We start from the raw sequence: 12,428 nt of genomic DNA, 5'->3' as shown, positions 1-12,428 counted from the left end.
TCTTTCCTGCAGGAGACAGCTTGAATGTGGAGTCTCAGGCAGCAGGAGCTCCTCCCCAGCCTGCGCCAGCAGTGCCATTCTTGGAATTGTTCTAGAGGCTTTGCCTGGAGCCTATTCCTTCAGGTTTTTCAACACTTTGCAAGGAATTTAATATCCTCTAGTAAATCCTTTTATGCTTCATGGATTTGACACTTGCAACAGGGAATATACACAGTTGACATCATTCACAGCCTCCTTTTTTCTTGCTAAATATAATGCTTTCCAGGTGGACCTGCCAGAGGAGGCCAATGTGAACAACAATCCTTGTCGCCAAAAATGCAAGACAAATAAGCTCGAGAAAGCCACTGTGTTCTCACCTAGCTGCACTGTGCCCTGGTACAAAATGAGAGAGTGTAAAATTCTTAGCTCCACCATCAGAGAGATGGTCTAGAGTGACCTTCTCAGCATAGTAAGTCAGTATTTATAGACATTTGAATACTAACACCTTTAATACCATAATACAGGCAAAAGTAGAAAAGAAGATAAATTGGACTACATAAAAATGTAAAATGGGCATCAAAAGACATAACCAACACAGTGAAAATGCAACATGTGGAATAGAAGAAAATATTTGTAAATCGTATATCTGATAAGGGGTTAATAATATCTAGTACATAAAAATAAGTCCTACATGTCAACATTAAAATAAAATACCTGATTAAAAACGAGAAAAGTATATGAATCGACATTTCTCTGGAGAATATTCTTTAGAGATAATTAGATAACTAGCATAGGAAAAGATGCTTAATATTATTAATCCTTAGAAAAATAAAAACAAAACCCACCTCACACCTATTAGGATTTTTTTTTCCAACAGAAAATGACCAGTCATGGTGAGAACTTAGGGAACTGGAACTCCTGTGGACACTGTCGTGGTGATGTAAATGGCCCACCTGCTGTGGGAAACCAGATGGCAATTCCTCGAAGAATTAATAATGGAAATACTATATAATCCAGCAATTCCACTTTTGGACATATACCCAAGTAATTGAAGACATTAACTTGAGGAGATATTTGTATACCCACATTCAGAACCGAATTATTCATAGTAGCCAACAGGTAGAGCAACTCAAATGTTCACAAAGGAGTGAACTGGTAATCCAAATGTGATATATACATACAATAGCATATTATTTAGCTTTAAAAAGGGAAATTCTCACACATGCTATAACATGGATGAAACTAGAGGACATTACGCTAAATGAAATAAGCCAGTCACAAAAAGATTACTGAGCTGTGATTTCACTATGGTATTTGCAGAATAGTTTTCATTTTGTCTTGAATCAACCCAGTCCCCTTCCCTTTCTTGATTGTAGTTTTCTGGAATAACTGTAGAATGTTCTGGAAATGTAACATTCTGAGATAGGGCATGATTGGCCAGAACAGCCTGGGTTCCGTTTCTGTCCCTACTAGAAACAGGAATTCCTTCAACACTCTAGCCCAGTGTGTCATGTGATTCTAAGACATAAAACCCAGGGTGGGCTGTATTCCAGGGTCCCTCAGCTGCAGTCCTTGTGGGGTACACACAGTCTAGTGTCAATCAGGTCCCCGCAGCTTTGTGCTCTCTCTGGCTGACTCTCTGTAAGTAGTAATCCACTTCATGTAACTGGTTGTGCATGGGTGCTGTGTGTCACCGGATTTGGGTAAGTTGGCAACCAGTGCACAGCAAACCTTCTTGGCAAAATTGGTGCAGTGAGAAGGTTTGATTTGAGAGAACCATGGCTTAATGGTGAAGATGGAGGAACAATACTCTCCAGTACCTGGCCCAGTACAGAGACATCAGCCTGGTGATGCAAGGGCTGGACATGAAGATGGATGTTTAATGAGGAGGGAGGATAAATGTGACATGGTGAGAGGCAGCGTTTGATGTGCCAGTGAGTCAGTGGAAACAGCGGAGAAGCAAGACAGCAAGAGACAGCAAGAGATGGCATTTTGTGAGAAGATGGACATAGCGATCAGCAATGGGCAAGACAGCTATTGGAGAAGTGGCAAGACAGTGATCAGTGAGAGAGGGTGTGATGGGGATCAGCACTACAGCGAGCAAAGCTACAGAGTTGCTAACATTGCAGAGCTGTTAACACTAGCCAAAGGCTGTTTTAAGAGCCATCATCTTTCCTGACAGGCGGTGGAGCTGAGCAGTTAGGTAAGTGGCCACAGAGCCACTGCTTCATGCAGGCCAGCTGCTGCATGCACCAGTTCACCCACGGGAGCTCAACCCACCCAAGCTGGGGGGCCTGGAGAGATCTTCACACAGGCCCCACGTTAGACACTGCTTGGCACCATTTTGGCTCCTGCACACCTGTAAGTGTCCCATCTACCCACCTGCCCTATGTCAGATGATCCAGGAAATAAGGCCTTTGGCTAAATAGTCCATTTGAAGTCCCCCATAGCACACCTGACTACATCCTCATTGCTCCTTCTCTTAGTCATTTCTCCTCTAATGCCATTTTATCTATCCATTAGCCAATTTATCTTATTTTCTACCCTGATATATGTGTTTGCTTTGCAGTTTTTTCTTTGGGTCCCTACTAATTATGTTTGTGCAATTGTTTAAGGCAGGACACTTGGATGTAAGAATTCTCCTGTTCTGTTGACTCTAAGAAGCCAGAGTCACATTGTTCTGTGGCCCCAACCAGGCCTTTGGGGCTCACTGTTGGCCACCCCACTGAGGCTCCAGGATTTTCTGCACTGGTCAGCCCCTGGATACTCCAGGGTTTCCTGGCATTTGGTGTGGGACACTCATAGGCTGATACGCGGGTACTCTGGGTTTTCAGCATTTGGTATTTTCGGTCACTCCCTGGATGCTCCAGGGTTTCCAGCATTGACATTTGTCTGAGGATTGTGGATTGGAGACTCACCCTATGGGAATCTTGGTTTGCCTTTTCTTGTTTTCTTCCCTAAAGTTATCATTTTCCATAACGGCCTTGTGTTTTCTTTTTGTCACTTTATTTACACTTTTTCTTCTACACTTTATTTAATAAAAATACTGCTTTAAGGCCGGGCATGGTGGCTCACGCCTGTAATCCCAACACTTTGGGAGGCCGAGGTGGGTAGATCATTTGAGGTCAGGAGTTCAAGACCAACCTAGCCAACACTGTGAAGTGTTGTCTCTACTAAAAATAGACTGGACATAGTGATGCATGCCTGTAATTCCAGCTACTTGGGAGGCTGAGGCATGAGAATTGCTTAAACCCAGGAGGCGAAGGTTGCAGTGAGCCAAGATGGCACAACTACACTCCAGCCTGGTAAAAGAGTGACACCCTGTATCAAAAAATAATAACAATAAATAAAAATTTTTTAAAAAAAGTAGCGCTTTAGTCATATTTTGTTCACTAACAAATGCTTACAATTTAGTTTCATAATGTCTTGCTACCTCTTCTTACACCTTCTATACAGGAAGTGGAAATCTGAGATGAGAACAATGATGGCCCAGTCACTTTCTAGAAAATCGTCTGCATATTGAAACTGGGTTTTCTTAAGTTATTAATTTGCTACATTATTGAAAATTATACAGGCCAGGTGCAGTGGCTCATGCCTGTAATCCCGGCACTTTGGGAGGCTGAGGCGGGTGGACCATTTGAGGTCAGGAGTACAAGACCAGCCTGGCCAACATGGTAAAACCCCATCTCTACTAAAAATACAAAAATTAGCTAGGCACAGTGGTACGTACCTGTAATCCTAGCAACTTGGGAGGCTGAGGCAGGAGAATGGCTGGAACCCGGGAGGCAGAACTTGTGGTGAGCCAAGATTGTGCTATTGCACTGCAGCCTGAGTGACAGAGTGAGACTATCTCGAAAAACAAACAAACAAAAAGTAAAACAGAAAATTTTGCCTTTGATGCAATAATGAGTTTCTTTTAAAACTTCTGAGATTAGTGTCTTAGAGATTCAACTGTGGTGTTTTGCTGCTTTCAGCTTATTCTCCCTTTAAAAAGGCCTGAGATCATTGCTGTCTCCTTTTGCTTCTTCATCAGCTCCTGTGGCTTTTTCACCTCCGGTTCTGACTGTTGTTGCGGACTTGATGCTAAAGTGTTTTGTCTTAGGCGTCTCTGGAAGCAATGTTTTCCCCCAGTATAGTATTATTCTACGTACTTGGTTTTTTAACATATATAACCTTATTTGGGGCCTTACTTTTTTATTTTTATACAGCTTTAAAAATACATATATTCTTCTTTGAGATGGAGTCTCACTCTGTCACCCAAGCTGCAGTGCAGTGGTGCGACCTCGGCTCACTGCAACCCCTGCCTCCTGGGTTCAAGGGATTCTCCTGCCTCAGCCTCCCGAGTAGCTGGGACTACAGACACATGCCACCATGCCCAGCTAATTTTTTTTATTTTTAGTAGAGATGGGGTTTCACCATGTTAGCCAGGATGGCCTGTATCTCCTGACCTCATGATCTGCCTGCTTAAGGGCTAATGAGTGCCTGCCCACCTCCATGCTGTCTGGCCTAAAATATTTAATTGGCTATAAATGTTTTCATTCCAAGCTCTGTGGCCAAAGGAACTACCAAAGAAACCTAAAAAAAATCTAACTCAAGCCATGGTGGGAAACAGGGAGTCAGACACACCTTGCTCCACCCCTGTTTGAAATGTAGGCCAGATTCAAAAGGGCTTTTAAAATTATGAAAATAAAATAGTGCCCTTTTCCACAAAACAAAATAATAGCTCCTCTGTTTAACCAAAAGACTTAGTCTTATGAAAAACTTAAAAAGAAGGAACTGGCTGGGTGCAGTGGCTCACGCCTATAATCTCAGCACTTTGGGAGACTGAGGTGGGTGGATCACTTGAGGCCAGGAGTTCAAAACCAGCCTTGCCAACATAGCAAAACCATATCTCTACTAAAATTACAAAAAATTACCTAGGCATGGGGGTACATGCCTGTAATCCCAGCCACTCAGAAGGCTGAGGCATGAAAATAGCTTGAAACCAGGAGGCAGAGGTTGCAGTGAGCCCAGCCGAGATTGTGTCACTGCACTCCAGCCTGGGCAACAGAGCGAGACTCTGTCTTAAAAAACAACAACAACAAAATGATCCCCCAAGAATCAATAATAATCAGAATAAAGGGGCCCTTACCAGATATTCTTAATTATTCCAACTACTGTTAGGCTTCAGGAAGCCACTAGCTGTCCAGGATTAAACCTGTTTCTTATGAGATCCTGCAGGCACAAAAGGTGGACACCACAACCTCCATTTATAAAACCTAGAAAACTTAAGGCTGTTGTTTTGCAAACACATAGATTAACAACTTGGTTCTGTGGGTGGACATAGGAGCATTAATTTTTCTCTCTCTTCCAATTATAATTTTCTTGTTTAACCTCCTAGTAAAGTTTATATCTTCTAAATTTCATGTAAAAATGATACGGTCCGTCATAAGTCTTTCAATCCATTCTGTCTTCTGACCCCACAAATGAAAGCATCCTGCCACTGGGCCCCTTAGTTCAGATACCAAAGATTTTTACTCTTCAAATGCTAGGGAAGGCCTGCCCCCATAAAGTCAGAAGGAAGCACTCACAGAAAAGGGACTCTGCTCTTCTGCAGTCCCCTTAAGATTAAGGAGGAGTATCTAATCTCCAAGGGGCAATGAGGTAGGAGGTAGGTGGGACTCAACTCTGGACCAGATTGAAGAGTGGGTGACACAAGGAAGAGACACTGGAAGCACCTGTCCATAACACATGCCCACCAGTGCCGTATCAGTTTACCATTGCCATGGCAAAACCTGAAAGTTACTGCCCATTTTCTAGTTATTTCTGAATAACCCACTCCTTAATTAGCACGTCATTAAAAGCAGTGATAAATATGACTGCAAAACTGCCCTATGCTACTGCTCTTGGCACACTGCCTATGGGGTAGCTCTGCTCCACAAGAGCAGTCACAGAGGTGTAACACTGCCACCTCAGTAAAGCTGTTTTCTTCTACCACCAGCTTACGCTGCATTCCTTCCTAGTGAAGCCAAGAACCTGCCCTGCACCACTTTTGTCAAGTCAGTTGACATAAAATTACTCATAATATCCTCTCTTTATTTTTTTACTCTTATAGGCTGTGTAATGACTTTCTCCTTTCCACTTACAATATTGTGTTTTGTGTCCTTTTTCTTTCCCTCTTCTATACACCCTTCATCAAGTAGTCACAGGCTTCAATTCACTTCTTTCTTGGTGGTAATATGGCTCATGAGAAATGCTGATTCTTCTGGGTATGAGGACATTCATGTTTATATGCAATACTGTAAAAAGTACTGTGACGTAAGCCTCCACTTCACAAACTGACCACTGTCAAACATCATCTCCCAACCAATAGAGAATTTTTTTGTTCCTCACTAGTATAATTTACATAGGAGTAGAAATCTCAAGTTTAAAGTGTGGATTTGCACTTTACCATTTGGTGTATTCAAGAAGATGAATAATATTAATACATCAGCAGGGCCTGGTGCAGTGGCTCAAGCCTGTAATCCCAACACTTTGGGAGGCTGAGGCAGACAGATCACCTGAGGTCAGGAGTTTCAGACCAGCCTGGCCAATATGGCAAAACCCCGTCTCTACTAAAAATACGAAAATTAGCCAGGTATGTTGGCCTGCACCTGTAATCCCAGCTACTTGGGAGGCTGAGGCAGGAGAATTGCTTCAATCAGAGAGACAGAGGTTGTGGTGAGCCAAGATCGTGCCACTGCACTCCATCCCAGATGACAGAGCGAGACTCTATCTCAAAAAAAAAAAAAAAAAAATCAGTAGCTTTGAATTTTAAACATCTATTTGACAAGAAATTTGTAGTTCTTTCTCTCTAAAATAATGTAATGATTCTTTCAGGAATGAGCCTGGTTTGATGCCTCTCTCCCCAACATGATAGAAATGTGGCATAAATCTATGAAAAATTCCATTTCCCTGTTCCTACAACAACTATCTGGGATGGAAAACTTCTTCCCTTGCTCTAGTCCTTTCTTCTACACCCAGTTTCACCTAATCTGTGACTCAAAACAATACTTGTCAGGAAACATTCTGGAAAGAGCAAAAGACTTCTAAGAGGTGTCAGAGATTCCTGTACCACCATCTGTCCATCTCTAGAGGGGGTTGTGAGTATGAGGAAGAGCAGAGCTTGTCAATCTTGCTTTCACTCCCACTGTATTTCCTAACAACGGCAACCACAGCAACAGCCATAACATCATAGGACAAATCTCTACTACTTCCAAGGCTTTTATCTCAGTAAATCTTCTTTACCTCTATCTCAGGCAGCTAAAAGTTTTGATACTCATACAAATAGTACTGTAGCTTTCTGTTTATAATTGGAAAAGTGGGCAAGACTCAGTGTAATGCAGGCATTCCTTAAGCTAGTTAGCATCCAGTTTTTAGATTATCATTGCACACATATACCCAGCATATGTCTAATAGATATGTAAAAATCCATGAAGCAAGAGTTATAATAGCTTGTGTTTTCTGTTGTATTGTATTTTCCTCTTATACCATCTTCTGCTTTTTGTCATTAAAAAAATCTGTTGAAGTCAGTCTAAATTATTGGATCATAAGTAGATAAAATCTTTTTTTTGATAACACATTGCCCCAATGAATATGTTTCTTTGCAAGACACAGTCCTTATTTCCAAGATAACACACTAGAATGTCAAGAATAGTTTCCCTTAAATCAACAGAATAATAAATTTTGTCGTAATGTCTGCTCATCCGCATGTAGGCACAGCTTAGTTTAGTCTTTACATAGACGACACTCCTATATAAGAAAAACTTAAAGACGGTATGTTCCTCTGCTTGCTTTCTGAGGATGCCTTACTCTGTAATGGAGTAATTTTCAATAAATTCTCTCTTATCACTGCACTTTCCAACTTTCCTTGAATTTCTTCCTGCATGAAATCCAAGAATCCTCTCTTGGAGTTTGAATCAAAATCCCCTTTTCTGGTAACAATATGGTCTATTTTAGTAAATTTTTTGAAAAGATTATGCAATCTGCTGTGCTGGTGGAGTGTTCTCGAAGTGTCAATTATGTCCAGATGGTTGATTGTGCTGTCCAATTCATCTGCATCTGCACTGGCCTGAGAGGCAGGACTGCTTGTGCTACAGGCTGAACCTGCTGCAGAGCCCTTTTTTTGCCCCGGGTCCCACTCAAGGCTGGCTGACTCGTGTATCAGTCGGTCAGTGAGCCAGTACAGTATTCCAAGGTACAGAATTTCTTGCCTCTAGAATCCAAAGAGGCCTACCAAGGCCTTCCTCCCTTCAAAGACAACGACATGCATTAGATACAATGGAATGGAATATGCATTCCTCTTCCCGTGAACTCTAATTTTCTCCTTGTTTACGAAGCACACATTACAGCTAGCTTATTCACTGGGGCATCATTTAGTGCCATTTAATGGCAGCTGTAGAGCCAAGTGCCCAGAAATACCAGCTACAGTGAAATACAAGCTGAGGGAAATCAGCCTTGCAACCACAGCCAAATAACCCTGGAACTGTTTCAAGTTCATCCTGATACTTAGAGACATTCTATCAATGAGCACCAGAGTTAGTGAGAGCTAGTTCCTCCTCAGAATTAGCTGGGTGGAGCCAAGAAGAAAGCCTATTCACCACCTAAAGATTGATACACATCTTCATCATCACAATCTCCATTGCATCAGCAATGAAGAGTGACAGGCTGCAGTCACAGTGTCTTCCACATTGATTCATGGTATTTCAGAATGTCACCCTTCTAAGCCAGGCAACACCAATATTTTATTTTGGTTTCATCAACACAAAAGATATTCTGTGTCACTTTGCTTACATAAGAAGCCCACTCTTCGACCCCAACTGGATATTTCTTCACTGCTTCACTCACCAGGGGATTTGCATGTTGTCCCCTAGGGAAGACCTTCCCTTGTGAGTCTGAGATAAAAGCTCAGCTCTAACCTTGCCTTGACTGATCAGGACTCCTCAGTTCACCTTCTCACAGTGAGGCTCCCTGCTCAGCTCCTGGGGCTGCTAATGCTCTGGGTCCCTGGTAAGGACAGAAGAGAGGAGAATGGGACTGGAGGGTGAGCTCTGTGGAATCTGCAGCCTCCCATTTGTTGTTCTGTCTACATGTCAGATGCAGATTTCTTGTCCTCCAGCAAAGGGAATTTAATATTCAGACCTGTAAGAACTAAGAACGAGCCACAAGGAAAAAGAACTTCACTGTCGAGAACTTCAAAAACAAAGAGGCCACTTTGTGCCTTTAATTATTGGATTATTTTTGGATATTGGATAAATGTAGTGTATGAATCTAATCAAACACAAAAAAGTAGCCTAACGTATACAATAAAACTAAATTATAAAAATGTCTCACATTGTTTGTATGTAACCTTGTACTTCTCACTGTTATTATTTTAGGATCCAGTGGGGATATTGTGATGACCCAGCATCTGCTCTCCCTGCCCATCCCTCTGGGAGAGCCGGCCTCCATCTCCTGCAGGTCTAGTCAGAGCCTCCTGCATAGTGATGGAAACACCTATTTGGATTGGTACCTGCAGAAGCCAGGCCAGTCTCCACAGCTTCTTATCTACACAATTTCTAACAAATTCTATGGAGTCCCAAACAAGTTCAGTGGCAGCAGGTCAGGGACAGGTTTCACACTTAAATTCAGCAAAGTGGAGGCTGAGGATGTTGGGGTTTATTGCTGTGAACAGGGTCTGCAAGGTCCTCACACAGTGGTAAAACCCTGAACACAAACCTCCCTACTTGGGATGGCCCAGCCATCCACAAGTGTTTGCACGTGGACTGTCTGCATGGCAGATTCTGAGTTGGCTTCACAGGTAGATGTTAGATGACTGCAGGGAATAATTTGCAGGAAGATCCAGACTGTTCTGGCCCCATCACTGTAACAGCCTTATTTCACATGGCTCAAGCAGAAGAATGAAGGTGATCAAAGTGCTCTCTGAGCAACTAGACATGACAGAAGAGAGAGCTACCTGGAAAGTGCATTCTGATCCTCCCTGTGTTTCCTGCATTTGTCAATGAGATTTAGTCAGCATAACAGCAAGAAAATTGAGGCCTACTCATGGCTACAAAGGTTGGGTATATGTTAGGATTAGCAGGTTTTGTTATATTTTTAACACGATAACGTTTGGTAATATTCAGAAATTGGTATTTTCCCACTTTCTAACTTCCTACCTCTCCATTAGTGGTTATACCAAACCTCCACTTACATACCTGTGATTGCATTCTACACAAGCTATACTCAGGGGGAGTGTGACTCACAGCAATTAGTGAAAATGTTTAGTTTGCAAACATCTAAATAGACTTTGTCAATTCATAGTGGAGATAACATTTTATCCCAAAAGTCTTTGATTTGCCTCAACTGCCTTTTGTGAGAGAAAAGGAGAGCTCTTAGAATTGCAAGTGGATTTTGAAAATAAAAGTATAAGCCATTTGGTGACAACTGCAGAGGAGAGTGCCCACAAATTTCAGCTGTACAATACTGATACTTCCAGCTGGGGTAAATCAGCCATCCAACCACAGCCAGGATGTTACTAGGCAGTCCAGAAACAGTTCCAGGGCATTTTCACATAACTTTTTTTTCATCTTTATACAGTATCTGAGCTAGTGCTTTAGTTAGGAGGCTCTAAAATTTGACATTATAATTTTCATTACTTCTGCTGTATGTACCTCCATCTAGTCCTTATGTCAATACAACCCCAGGACGCAGTCAAGTCAAATTCATGAGAGCCATATTTACCCTGTTCCAAATTCTGGTTTAAAGATTTGTATTTGCTTATCAAATTGAAGATATCAGTGCTATGAGAATAGATATTCATAAAACACCTCCCTCTCCTTCATAAATGTTAACATTGGGATACATTTCATAACATATTTCTCATTACCCCTTCTTTTTTGTTGTTGTCTTCTACAAGTTCTGGTGGTAGTTGAATTACAGTTATGACCAATACTATGAGTCTGAATCCAAGGCAAATTACTTTTAATGGATCTTGAAAACTTAGCATTAATCCAGAAACAACGATGTCGCTGTTATTTAGGGGCATACTTAGGATTAGCTTTATTGACCAGCAAATATTCAGTTAATTATTTCCATGGGATCAACAAATTTTTCCTTTTATTTTACTCTAAATAGTTAATTTTTGTGTAACCAGATTTCCTAGGATAACTGGTTAGTATAAATTCTCATAGTTTCAAATTTCTCCTATGGCTGTTAAGATTCCAGAATATAAGAAAGGCAATCATTCTTTGGGTTGAGAAAATTCCTAATTTGTGAGGGCAAGAATACAAAATAAGAGTAAAATTTGACTAAATTAGTTTTTAGTAAGTTGTTCTAGGTTCTAGTTTTTTGTTAAACTTTATAATTTTATCCCACAACTACTTCCAGGAGTTCATAAGTTATTTTATTTTATTTCTTTTTATTTTATTACTGATCTTTATTTTTCTATTTAGCATAAAAAGTGTTTTAGAAGAGCCCAGTATGAGCATTTCTAGAATTACAGAAAGATGAGGACTGTTGCTGCTCAAAGACCACTGAAACAGTGGATTACCCTCGGCTCCTGCACAAGAAAGATCAAGACGGAGGGGAAGTTTACAACTGTGAGTCCCCTGCTCCCTTAAGGCAGAAAGTCACCATTTCCACTTTCTGATGAAGATATTGTCTCATTATTATCTCATTATAACTAAGAGTGACCACCAAACAATTCATTCACCTATTGCATCTTACTTTATCTAATGTTTTTGATTGTTGTTCATTGGAAATAAAACACAGTAGTTAAAACACAATTTTGGTTGATTTCAGAAACTAGTGTAAGGGATTTAATTTGGTCGATTTTTTCTGAAGCTCTTAAAATTTCTGTATTTAAAGTTTATGTAAGTATTTTATAGATTCTTGAAATTATTTAAACCGGAAGAAAAAACATTGAATTTGAGAATTCCAGGTTCATAGTCTCCATTTTTCTGCAAGTAAACTATCTTATCTAAATTAAAAATACAAAAAAATTATTTACTTTGTCATTTCCGTATATTTATACAAATTATTTCAAAGACAGATGTACCCACAGTTTAAAATGCTATTGTCCTTGATTCTATCTCTAAACTCTTCTTGAGTTTTCCACTTTTCATTTGTCTGGCAAATCAAATTTTCTTACAAGGTGGAATAGACAAATCTCACATTAAAAAAACTGAAAATTATTAAACAAGCTCTGGCTTTTGAGAAAAACTTCTTTTCAAGATAGAGGACCCTGTCTTCAAGAGTAAGCCTAGAGCAGAGATGTTAGAGGCAGTTAAAAATTTTAAGGTGGGGAATGCTCAGGTAGACAATGGAATTATTGTCTCACTTTATCCAGTTAGTCCATGGGTGAGCTGGGCTCAGCAGAAAGTTTAGCATTTACAGATAAAAAGCCTTCATCGCCAACACATGATTCTCAAACTCATTTTTATGGTTGGGTT

General features: G+C 40.7%; 1 pseudogene and 1 further gene, besides 2 other annotated features; one reads left to right on the top strand and one right to left on the bottom strand.

Moving 5' to 3' along the window:
- IGK (immunoglobulin kappa locus) overlaps positions 1–12,428 on the bottom strand; it is a 1,378,008-nt gene that overhangs the window by 1,294,033 nt on the left and 71,547 nt on the right.
- Positions 8,958–9,006: a sequence feature (IGKV2-4 leader sequence).
- On the top strand, positions 8,958–9,685 carry IGKV2-4 (immunoglobulin kappa variable 2-4 (pseudogene); annotated as a pseudogene). Its single transcript is given in 2 exon segments — positions 8,958–9,006; positions 9,375–9,685. Coding segments are annotated over 2 exon segments (360 nt in total).
- Positions 9,375–9,385: a sequence feature (IGKV2-4 leader sequence).

This window comes from Homo sapiens, chromosome 2 (assembly GCF_000001405.40).
Source record: "Homo sapiens chromosome 2, GRCh38.p14 Primary Assembly".
Taxonomy (NCBI): Eukaryota; Metazoa; Chordata; class Mammalia; order Primates; family Hominidae; genus Homo; species Homo sapiens.
The sequence above is the reverse complement of the archived record's forward strand: the minus strand, read 5'-3'. Positions and strand labels throughout refer to the sequence as shown.